This window comes from Homo sapiens, chromosome 1 (assembly GCF_000001405.40).
Source record: "Homo sapiens chromosome 1, GRCh38.p14 Primary Assembly".
Lineage (NCBI taxonomy): Eukaryota > Metazoa > Chordata > Mammalia > Primates > Hominidae > Homo > Homo sapiens.
This window is the reverse complement of record NC_000001.11, coordinates 85,249,307-85,261,675: the sequence shown is the minus strand read 5'-3', so window position 1 is coordinate 85,261,675 and position 12,369 is coordinate 85,249,307. Positions and strand designations below refer to the sequence as shown.

The 12,369-nt window shown below is 40.6% G+C and overlaps 1 protein-coding gene across 2 annotated transcripts, besides 2 other annotated features; it reads left to right on the top strand.

Moving 5' to 3' along the window:
• Positions 1,988-2,277: an enhancer, noted in NCBI's record as "active region_1267". NCBI's record gives its function as "activates an Ori minimal core promoter by ATAC-STARR-seq in GM12878 lymphoblastoid cells {active_cell/tissue: GM12878}" and the evidence as "EXISTENCE:reporter gene assay evidence [ECO:0000049][PMID:35858748]".
• C1orf52 (chromosome 1 open reading frame 52) lies at positions 2,014-11,723 on the top strand. 2 transcript variants are annotated; one of them, NR_024113.2, is made up of 4 exons: positions 2,014-2,318; positions 2,615-2,741; positions 2,954-3,152; positions 8,974-11,723. NR_024113.2 is itself a non-coding variant. In NM_198077.4 (3 exons), exons 1-3 carry the CDS (start codon positions 2,043-2,045, stop codon positions 9,045-9,047), a joined length of 549 nt encoding a protein of 182 aa, NP_932343.1. In that variant the 5' UTR covers positions 2,014-2,042; the 3' UTR covers positions 9,048-11,723. The 2 variants fall into 2 exon arrangements, 1 of the variants encoding a protein (NP_932343.1); NM_198077.4 differs by lacking the exon at positions 2,615-2,741.
• Positions 2,438-2,487: a silencer, noted in NCBI's record as "silent region_1033". NCBI's record gives its function as "represses an Ori minimal core promoter by ATAC-STARR-seq in GM12878 lymphoblastoid cells {active_cell/tissue: GM12878}" and the evidence as "EXISTENCE:reporter gene assay evidence [ECO:0000049][PMID:35858748]".
• Positions 11,724-12,369: the final 646 nt, after the last annotated feature.

The window sequence follows — 12,369 nt, the reverse complement described above, 5'->3', positions numbered from 1 at the left end:
CTCAAACTGAGTACCTCAATCTCCGAGGCATTCAACAGTGAGCCCATTTTAAAAGTCACTCAGAGTGTCAGTTTTACTCAGTAATAAGTAAGTCTAAATATTTTTGTCTATTAAAAGAGCTTTATTAAACACAACCATGCAAAATTTCCATACATTTTCAAGATCTTATATTAAGAAAAATAAATATGTATGCCCATGGGACTTTGGGTCACAATGTATCAGCTCAGCTTCTGGAGGAACTGGAGACTGAGGTCACTCGTGGGCAATTAACTGTGCCTATATGGCCAAGCCCCAATAAAAACTCTGGACAACAAAGCTCAGGTGAGTTTCTCTGGATGGCAGTATTCCATGCATACTGTCACGTGTCTCTGCCACGAGAAGTTCATACTGTTCACAATTCCACTAGGAGAGGACAACTGGAAGCTTTGAATGTGGAACTCTGCACCATGTGCCTCTTCCCTTGGCTGTTTGGTTTTTTCCCCCCGCCTGTATTATTTTGCTGTAATAAACTGTAACCATGAGTATAATGACTTGCAGTGAGTTCTGTGAGTCCTTCTAGTAAATTATCAAACCAACCTGAGGGCAGTCTGAACTTTGCAAAACCTGAAATTGGTGTCAGGAGTGAGGATGGTTTTGGGGACTCCCAAACTTTGCACTTTGAGACCATCATTTTCCTCTGCCAACATAGGAACCTGGATGGGAAAACTCGAGAAACACTTATCTAGACCCATACCATCATAAATTATTATAATCCAAAAATATTTATTAACCATCTGCTCTGTGACAAGCACTGCGCTGGGTAGTAGGAATCTAAAAATGAGCAAAGCACAGTCCAGCTCCTCCCCTCAAGGAGCTCATAGACATCGTACCACAGCAAAGAGGGAGTGAACAAGATAGTTATATAACTCTGCCCTGGAGCCTACTTCCAGGGAGGAATGGCAAGTTATGTGTGAGTGTGAGTATCATCTAAACGAGCAGGCATCCTTAAGTGAAATCTAAATACACTGATAACAACTTCATTTGGGTGTCATTCCCATTTAGTTCACCAGAAGGAATCAAAGAGTTCTAGTTTCCCTGAATACTAGGCATATGGTTACACCATTTACCAAAAGAAGGAACAAAAATGCAGAGAAAAATTATATGAAAAGACAGATTACGGTTCCAATAGGTGGGTGTTTGAGGCCCCAGAAGGATACCATATGGAAAATGTAAGATCCAGGTGGTGGTCGGGTCTAGAGTTTGGGTGGAAAGATTGGGATTAGACACCCAGATTTGGGAATCATAGCATAAAGTAGTTAATGCGGTGGAAAGGGATGGGCTGACTTGCAACTTTGTAATGCCCTTTAAAATGTTAGAAGCATCACTGAAAGATAGTACAATATGTTGGGAAACACCAACATTTAAGGGCCATATGGAGCAAAGCAGGCGGAGAAGAGGCTGACAATGAGAAGCCAGAGAGTTTGGACGACCCGAGTGGTAGGCTATGATCCAAGAGGAGTTTTGTCAAAGCTATTCAGAGCGCACTTGAATGAGGTCAAGCAGGAAATGATTTGGTTCTTGGCTTGGGAAGTCCACCACCCCTAGAGGTCTTCCATGACAACCTAGGGAAACACACTGAGAGTAATTTTTATTTGGAAGACGAGATGCAGTGGATCAGGAAAAAATCCTACCCTCTCTGGGCAAGGGCTAAAGTGGAGTGACAGCGAAAAGACAAAATTCTTAGGTCTTCTATGCCTTTGGTAAATGCTATCGAATGCAGGAAGTTTGGCTGGGATCCCTGGCTCAGAACTTCGTCTCTTCTCAGAGCTCCTCAGAAATGAGCAAAAGCAGCCCCCGCCCCTGCTTGGGAACGTGCCGGGCCCGCCTCCAGCCTCAGCCCCTCCGAGGGGGAGCAGGAGCGTGGCGCAACCGCCAGGGGGCGCAGACTGCAGGCTTATTTGTAAGAGTTGGGGCGGGGCCACGCGAGGGGCGGGCCCTGGGGTGGCTTCCGGTTTCCGGTTTCCGGCTTCCGGCGGAGTGCTGGGTTGTCGCTCGCAGCCGTCATGGCAGCGGAGGAGAAGGACCCTCTGAGCTATTTTGCGGCATACGGGAGCAGCAGCTCAGGCTCCTCGGACGAGGAGGATAACATCGAGCCGGAGGAGACGAGTCGCAGAACCCCGGATCCGGCGAAGTCGGCGGGCGGCTGTAGGAACAAGGCGGAGAAGCGGCTCCCGGGACCTGACGAGCTGTTTAGGAGCGTGACTCGCCCGGCCTTTCTCTACAATCCGCTCAACAAACAGATAGACTGGGAGAGGCACGTCGTCAAGGCGCCTGAGGAGGTGAGGTCCCCGACCCCGTTTCTCGGTCTCGGCCCCGGCCTGCGCCCCCTTTCTCCTGAGCCCCCTGCTGGGGACCTGCTGTCCATCCCCCCACACGCAGTCACCCCCGCGGGATGCCGCACCACCCCCTCCCACCTCAAGCCCTGGGAAACCTGGCCCCCTCTCCCCGCCTGGTGGGTGTTAGACCGGACCCGCAGCCCCGCCCCTTGTGAGGAGACCCAAACCTCCGCGCTCGGTGCCCCGACCCCGCGCGGCGAGGACTAACAGTGGTGACTCCCCCGCCCCCCCCGCTGCAGCTTCTCCCTGAGACCCCTTCCCTTTGACGCCGAAGTGCCTGCGGTGCTGCCTCCAAGACAGTGTCTGCTGCAGCCTCCTGAAGGGGTCAGCCTTGGCGTAGTATCTCTGAGACTGGATTCTTCTTTGGTAACTAAAAGTTATTAGCTTTATTCATATAGGGAACCCTTTGGCTTTTCACTTAACAGTATTGTGATTTTGATGGAAAAATGTGTCTTTCAACCTTAAAGAAAAAAAAAGTCAGCCTGAACGATAAGCGAACGGCAGGGAGTTGCATGTGCCCACGTCCATCGTAGGAACCTCGGTTCGTCACAGTGCTTCTTAATGTGCTTGCTTAACAGCCTCCAAAGGAATTCAAAATATGGAAGTCAAATTATGTACCACCTCCTGAGACCTACACCACTGAGAAGAAGCCTCCGCCTCCAGAGCTTGACATGGCAATAAAATGGTCTAACATATATGAGGACAATGGTGATGATGCTCCACAGAATGCTAAGAAAGCTAGGCTTCTACCAGAAGGGGAGGAGACGTTGGAATCAGGTAAGGAAAGTCAGAATCCGATGGTGGTCTATTTTGATCCCCGTGATGGGCTTAAAAAGAATGAGATATTTAATGAATGAAAATTAAATCTAGCGAATTGACAAACTAATTTGATGGTCTTTGGATACTTACTGCTCTGCTTTTGAGAAAGATCATACATATTTGGCTTTAACATGAAGTCTCTGATAGCTCAGCTAGTAGTAGTTGCTGTATTTTAGTGAAAGATCATAAATTATTCAGGCTTTAAAGTAAAATATCTGATATCTCATCCAGTGGTCAGATTTATGATGCATTATTAGAACAACACAAATCAATTCATGGTTTCTTGTGACTGTAGCTACAAAGTACTGAAGGCTTAATTTTCTTTTTTTTCTTCTTTTTCTTTTTTTTTTTCTTTTTTTTTGAGACAGCATTTCGCTCTTGTTGCCCAGGCTGGAGTGCAATGGCGCCATCTCAGCTCACTGCGAACCTCCACCTCCCAGGTTCAAGCGATTATCCTGCCTCAGCCTCCAAGTAGCTGGGATTACAGGCGCCTGCCACCACGCCGGGCTAGTTTTGTTTTTTTTGTTTTTTTTGTTTTTGTAGAGGTGGGGTTTCACCATGTTGGTCAGGCTGGTCTTGAACTCCTGACCTCAGGTGATCCACCTGCCTCGGCCTCCCAAAGTGTTGGGATTTACAGGCGTGAGCCACCGCTCCCGGCCGAAGGCTTCATTTTCTATTAAAGCAGTTGTGCTTCAGAGCTAAAATTAGTATGACAAAATGAATTTAACTGAGCATTACTACATAGTAATAGGAAGATAATGACTGAGTTGTTTTACTTTAGTTCATAATAGCATAATTTCGTCTCTTACTTGGACTGTCACAGTAATCTTTGCCTACACATTCTTATCCAATCTGTACCATCCTTCACTGCAGCTAGTGTTGAGTTTCTAAAAGTCGTATCTGATTATATAACTTGCCTGCTTAAAACCCTTCAACGGGATAAAGTCAAGGCCTTGTATTAATAGGCCCTTTCTCCCTGTCCACAGTCATTTTTAATGGCCCCTTTCTAGCACTTGAAGATCTTGAAATCCAGAACTGAATTGTATGGTTCCCTGCCTTTCAGTATACGTTGCACCTTATTCTTTAGTGTTCTTTCTTATCTCTGGCTAGTAAACTAATTCATCCTTCAAAATCCAAATCAAAAGAAGAAATCTCAGGTATCACCTCTAATAATTATTTGCTCCTTTGTACCTTGTTTATGCTAATGCTGTTGATTGCCCTCATCACTTGTATGTGATTTTTTTAAAAGTCTGTCTGCTTTATGATGAGTTCCTCAAACAGCAGGATTTGAAGTGTTTGTATCGAGTACATTGTAAGTATTCAGTAATTGTTGAATTGAACTAATGTTTTGGACCATTATTTTTAAGAAAGTATGCCATTTTTGTTAAACAGATTTCTGATCTTCCCACAATACAAGGGCTACTTAGCCCGTTTTTAACAGTCATGCAGGGAGTGATGTTTTGTTTTAAGAGAAAGGAGAACTGATTGGCAGTTCTTTCTTTAATTTTGATTCTACCTAGCTTTTCCATTACTTTTGCTGACTTCTAATATGTATTAGTCACTAATGAAGGAGCATCTTCAGTAAGTAGCATCTTTTTGCAGACCTTAAATGATGTAAACATTTATAATATCTCATATTGTACAATCTTTTTGTTTTCTTTTCTTTTTTTTTTTTTTTTTTTTGAGGCGGAGTCTCGGTCAGTCGCCCAGGCTGGAGTGCAGTGGCGCCATCTCGGCTCACTGCAAGCTCCGCCTCCCGGGTTCACGCCATTCTCCCGCCTCAGCCTCCCAAGCAGCTGGGACTGCAGGTGCCTGCCATCACACCCAGCTAATTTTTTGTATTTTTAGTAGAGACGGGGTTTCACCGTGTTAGCCAGGATGGTCTGGATCTCCTGACCTCGTGATCTGCCCGCCTTGGCCTCCCAAAGTGCTGGGATTACAGGCGTGAGCCACCGTGCCCGGCCATTCCTTTTCATAATTAGTAAAAATATATTTGCTTAAATAATCTTTATTACAACACCTTGTGAAATAAGATAGAGAAATGTGGAAATGATAGCTTACATAACTTGTCCAAGGTCACAAACTAGAAAATGCCAAATTCTAAAATAGGCACTTTCACACAGTTTTCTAATTTATTACTCCGAGCAACCTGATACAGAAGTGCTACATGACTCATTATTACTGTTTTACAGATGATAAAACAATCTGAGATTAGGGACTTTACCCAAATTCATTCACGCAGCTAAAGAAGAGACAGAGTAGTAGGCATTCAAATCCAGACCTTTAAATAGAAATTATGCCTTATTAAACTGGGATTTGGTCTCCTGATGAATAGCCATTTCTCAACAGTGAGATATAGCTATTCTTCTGTAGGGCGAATGGCAGTAAAGATACTAGGGTTGATACTCAAACTAGATTTCCATAGGCTGGTGCTCTCACATCTTTGTAGTTATATGGAAAAAACCAGGATTATACACCAGGGCAAGCAAGCAAGAAAGAATTATCTTTTTCTAGCTTAGCTTTTGAGTTAAGTTAGAAGGAGTTCCAAATATGTGGCAGGTAACACTGCTATTCACATAGATAATTTCTGTCTTTTTGATCACATGATGGTCCTTTATTGGAAAACAAATACAGGCAAAATCAAATAACAGACCCATTTTTTAGAAGTGATTTTCAGATTCCTATAAAATCAATTATGTCATAATTTTTTAGCCTTTCTTTTTCATTCATAAAATATATATCAGAAACTCTACACTCTTACCCAGATTTTAGATTAGCAAGTGACTTTTTTATTTTGCTTCCCCATTCTGCCCTTTGGCCTTTTATTGCCGGTTAACGTCTTCCAGTTACTTTAGAGGAAGGGCTGGGAAAGGTTCAGAACTCATCATTGGGTCTTGCTGCTTATCAGCCCTTCGGGTTTTTTTTTTTTTTTGAGATGGAGTCTCGCTCTGTCGCCCAGGCTGGAGTGCAGTGGTGTGATCTCGGCTCACTGCAACCTCCGCCTCCCGGGTTCAAGCGATTCTCCTGCCTCAGCCTGCCAAGTAGCTGGGACTACAGGCACACGCCACCACGCCCAGCTAATTTTTGTATTTTTAGTGGAGATGGGGTTTCAGCATGTTGGCCAGGGTGGTCTCGATCTCCTGACCTCGTGATCCGCCCGCTTCAGCCTCCCAAAGTGCTGGGATTACAGGTGTGAGCCACCGCACCCTGCCACTTCTGGTTTTAGTGGTTGTAAAATGTAGGTAAGCAAAGCTTAGTTATTAGTTGTAGCTTTATTGACATGTATAATAATTAATTGTAAAAGCATAATTAATATAGTGATTTTTAGTTTACACTTTTTAGAATTTAGAAAGTTTGTCTATTGATAAGTTAAACTTACTTGAGTGATTTGAGTTCCATAATAAAAAAATTGTTTCCTTACCAGTACATCTATACTATATGAGACCGAGTAAAAAAGCTCAGTAAAATTGATAAATGAACATTGCTCAGATTTTTTCCTACTCTAGTTTATAAAGCAATGCCTTGTCATGACACTAGATGGCATAGCACTTCTGCTCAAATCACTGATAGCCAGTTACTTTTTAACTTCAGTAGTTTGTGGTTTTGTTATTCAGTTAATTTACTTGTAATAAGTGGCAAATTAAAAGCAAAAATATCTCAGTATCATCTAAATGTATGCTAATGCATAGTGAATATTATAGTAAACTTAGTACTTTCCATTTTTATATTATCACTACTGAAAATCTCAAAAGAGGAGCTTAGTGATAATTAACTCGTTAAAAAGCAAAAGGTGCCGGGTGCGGTGGCTCACGCCTGTAATCCCAGCACTTTGGGAGGCCGAGGTGGGTGGATCACGAGGTCAGGAGATAGAGACCATCCTGGTTAACACCGTGAAACCCCGTCTCTACTAAAAATACAAAAAATTAGCTGGGTGTGATGGCAGGCACCTGTAGTCCCAGCTGCTTGGGAGGCTGAGGCAGGAGAATGGCGTGAACCTGGGAGGTGGAGATTACAATGAGCTGAGATGGTGCCACTGCACTCCATCCTGGGCAACAGAGCAAGACTCCATCTCAAAAAAAAAAAAAAGCAAAACGTTTGGCTTGTTTTGGTGGTATACCATGTTATTTGGTTTGTGGAGCCAGTGTTTTTGTATGAACATGATGAACTACTGATTAAAACTTTGATTTGTAAATTCCTGGGGTGAGTTGATCTGAATTGTATTTTATTCCACTGCCTACATAAATCCATAGTGCTCTGTGAAGCATATGAATAACATCACCGTGCTGTGCTTGAAGGGGAGTGAAGATGAATGGTATTGATTGTTATCTGCATCAATAAATGAGATATTCTGATTATGGTACAGTCAGCAGAAGGGAATTGAAGGCTTAAGATTTTAATATTTCCTTCAAGGAATTTATGATTTGATGTCAGTAGTTCCTCACATTTTTTAATAATGAAGGCTCCTTTCAATATCAAGATATTTTATAGATCTCCACATGATAACCTGTTGAACTTTTTGAGTATCTGTTGATCAAGAAAATAAAGTCAAAAGCTACAATTAATTAGTAATGTGCTCAAAATAAATTTGTATTTTATAAATCATAACATCTTTTCCATGTTACTCTGTCTATATGGAGTTCTTAATACCACACATTTGCTTAGGGAGATGGAATTAGCAACTAGTCTGTGCTACCCTGTATTTTTTTTTTAACCATGTAGTTGGATTTTTTAAAATACAATAAAAGAGTTCACTTTTCCAGGTTTGACAACATTTTTATGAATTGGAAATTTTCTGTGGCTACAGATACTATTAACATTTTGGAAAGGTGTAAAGAACATTGTTTTAATGTAAGGCTCTTCTCTAACCTCCCTCCCCTCTCCAAATTCTCCATAATATGAAGTAGGAAGATATGTATTTTTCTGTTGCCATTAAAATGTTCTGGCCATCGTGGGAGTGGGGATGGGGAGGGCGGGGATGGGAATTAGAACTTACTAGAATAAAATTCCAAATAGAGGTTTGGGGAAACCTACTTGTGAGTGCTTTTTAACCTCAAAATAAGGATTTGGGGTGGGTGGAGAAGGTGATGGGGCAGAAGAAGTTGTTTTTGGAGGAGAGAAAGCAGATTGAAAGGAAAAGGACAGCTGATAGCCACTTAAATAATGTCATCGTTAGAGTGATACCTATTTTTTGTAAAAAGAAAACAATATGCTCCATTCTTACAAAGCATTGATTGTATTTTAATATATACAATGTAAATACTATCATGCAGTGGTGTCCAAGGGAGAGAATACAGTCATGAGTTCTTAGTTTCTGTTATTGGTTGGGCCAATAAAGCCCCTTCATCATCCTTCTTTTCTGCTTATCACTAGAGACAGAAACTAAAAACCATGGCTTCAGGCTGCTAAAAGCCTAAAACAAAACAGAACAACAACAACAAATAAGGCAGGTTGGACAAGCTTGCTGAGTATTTGGGAGCCTTTTTCAAAAGTCTGATTTGGGGGAAGTAAAGTCACTTATTTTAAGCTACCTTAGTATAGCACCTAAAGAGTTACTTTGTGAATTTTGTATGGCTGCAATTGAAAAAAAAAATTGCTCACTTTCACTTGCATTTAAAAATCAGAGCTCTAAAAGTTAATTCTTGTTTTTTATTGGGAAACTCTGAGAGAAACATTAATTGATGAGGGTAATAATTTTGGTATAAAGCCAGTGAAATTTTAATGCTTAACATGTTGGGTTTTTTAAAATTACTGATTGAAACTCTTCCTTTTCTATTTAAAGATGATGAAAAAGATGAGCATACTTCTAAAAAGCGCAAAGTAGAGCCAGGAGAACCAGCAAAGAAGAAAAAGTAGAAACAAATGACCAGAATTTCTGTACTGCTAAACTTGTTGAAATGTTTCTTTGGACAGATTAAGTTGATATTGTGGGTTATTATGCCACATCTCCATGAAAATGCATACGTTAATGAACTAATAAGTATTGCCTCAAGAACTTTCCACTATAGAATTCTTTTTTTATTTAAAACATGTATGTATTTAAAACTCAACTGGTGACTTGTGATTGTGAAATTGATAACACTTGGATGCATTCTTGCTCTCACAGAATTGGTGACATGCTTTGAGAGTTTTGTCACATGTTGACATGCCAATGTTCTTATAAACCTTTTATAAAGGAATATATTTTTAAAGTAAATATATTGTAATGTACTGTGAACTTGTAGGGTGCTTTTCAACAGTCTTTGTACAGTGTAAATAGATCATGGAAATAAAATTACTTATTCAATATTACTATTACTGTATAACATTAACATTTGAATGTTTGTCTGTGACAAGTACCCTATTTGTCGTGTGACATTTTAAGTTGTAATAAGAAGTATTACCATTTAAAGAGTGCCTCCTGTGTTCCAGGTGCTTTGTGCATATATTTTCTCTGATCCTTAAACAACCTAGCGCAAGGTATTATTAGTATTCTCATTTTATAATAAAGAGTGCTTGAGTAGCTTGTCTGATGTTACACAGCTAGTGAGTGGTTCATTTGGAATTTAACTTGGGACACTTGAACCTCAAAATCATCACATTAAACCACCTGTCCACCAGTCAAAATTTAGTCATCTTTCAGGAATGACATCAATTGTCATCTCTTCCAGGTACTTTTTTCTGTTGTACCTGGAGATCCGTTAGTAGAGATCTTTTCCTCTCCTGATTGGATGACTGTACTTGTCATCTGTGCTTTATGGTTATTCATTAATTTCTTTATTAAATTGTAAGTTTACAGGACATTCAGTTAAATTTGAATTTCAGATAAATAATGTTTTAGTATATTTAATATTCAGGACATATACAAAAAATGTGTTTATCTGAAATTCAAATTTAACTGAACATCTTTTATCTGGTAACCCTACTTCTACATGTTTTCTCTACCCAGCTTCTATTTTAATGCTTTGCGTATAGTAATAATAAAATGAACAAGAAGTAGTTGGGAAGGTGTGATCGTTGAGTTCCAAAATGCAGTTATTTGTAGCATTTTGAACAATAAAAAGGTTACACTCTGCATCAATCTTTCCATGAATCTGAAGCCCTTAAGAGATAAGAATTACAGAACAGTGCACATTCAGTGTATAAGAACAAGACAGCCAAGCATGGTGGCTTATGCTTGTAATCCCAGCACTTTGGGAGGCCAAGGTGGGAGGATAGCTTGAGGCCAAGAGTTGGAGACCAGCCTAGACAACATGATAAGACCTCATCTTTACAAAAAATAATTTAGAAAGAAAAAGACATAATCTAAGTATTTTTTTTTAAATCTGTTTTTCCCCATTGTGGAAGATAAAATTTGAACAATTACGCGAGATTTGTTTACCTAGGCATGTGTATCAAGTAGATTAAAATTCATAAAAGTCATTAAGAGTGATTGCATCAGCCATGGTGCTTTGTGGAATGAAGGTCCATAACAGCATGATGGCTTCCAGTATATCATCGAGTTTAGAAAAACCAATTCTATAGCTGCCCATCCTCCAGGTTTGCAAATATATGAATCCCAAAATTGAAGTAATTGCTAAAGCAAGAATATGTTTTTTTAAGATTGTAGTCTTTGTAATGAATTTGGAAATCTGTGGTATCATATACTAAGGAGTGGCATCAAGTGACAAAGCAAGACCATAGTATGTACATGACACCAAACACAACCAAATCAAGTTATATTTGTGAAGTTGTGATTCCCAAGCTCTGGAGAAATCTAAAATTTGGATGCATGTGTTGGTGGAGCAAATATCTCAGAAGTTACTGAAATATTGCAAGGTTCTTAAGTTAGCATGAAAGCAAACTTTTTTCTCTCTTTCCTGGGAGATGTGCAGAGTATGTTGTATGAGGAGGAAGACAGGACTTAGGGAAGAGGCTAAATATTTTGGAGCAAGTCTGACTCAGCCATTTGTATCTCCTGGTTGGAAAACGGACTGTCATATCACTCTACATTCATCATCACATTAGAGAATAGATTATTTTCCCCTTTAGAGATGTCCTGGGAACGTGTTTGCACAAGTGTCCATGTGGGTACTGAGGTGAAGTTTGGTTGAGCTAGTGGAAACCTAGTGGGGAAAAGTCTTAAAAATCCATATACATAAGAAAAATCATCTGTCCAAGTATCTTTCATTTTAGAGAATCGAGTCACTTGATACTTCTGATTGTTTCCTGCACTTTAAGTTAAGCCTGGGCAACATGTTGAGATCCTGATCTGGTTTGGCTGTGTCCCCAACCAAATCTCACTTGAATTGTAATTCCCACAATTCCCACGTGTCATGGGTGGTGACTGAATTATGGGGGTGGGTCTTTCCGGTGCTGTTCTTATGATAGTGAATGAGTCTTACGAGATCTGATGGTTTTAAAAACCATCAGTGCAGGGAGTTGCCCTGCACAAGCTCTCTGCCTGCTGCCCTCCACATAAGATGTGTCTTGCTCCTCTTGCCTTCTGCCATGATTGTGAGGCTTCCTCAGCCATGTGGAACTGTAAGTCCAATTAAACCTGTTTCTTGCAAATTGCCCAGTCTCTGGTATGTCTTTATCAGCAGCATGAAAATGGACTAATACAGTTAATTTGTACCAGTAGAGTGGGGTACTGCTGAAAAGATACCCAAAAACGTGGAAGTGACTTTGGAACTGAGTACAAGGCAGAGCTTGGAATGTTTGGAGGGCTCAGAAGAAGACAGGAAAATATGGGACAGTTTGGAACTCCCTAGAGGCTTGTTGAATGGCTTTGACCAAAATGCTGATAATGATATGAACAATGAAATCCAGGCTGAGGTGGTCTCAGATGGAGATGAGGAACTTGTTGGGAACTAGAGCAAAGGTCACTCTTGATATGTTTTAGCAAAGAGACTAGTGGCATTTTGCCCCTGTCCTAGAGATTTGTGGAACTTTGAACTTGAGAGAGATAATTTAGGGTATTTGGTGGAAGAAATTTTTAAGCAGCAAAGCATTCAAGAGGTTACTTGGATGCCATTAAAGGCATTCAGTTTTATAAGGGAAGCAGAGCTTGAAAGTTCAGAAAATTTGCAGTCTGACAATGCCATAGAAAAGAAAATCCCATTTTCTGAGAAGAAATTTAACCTGGCTGCAGAAATTTGCTTAAGTAATGAAGAGCCAAATGTTAATCCCCAAGACAACGGGGAAAATGTCTCCAGGG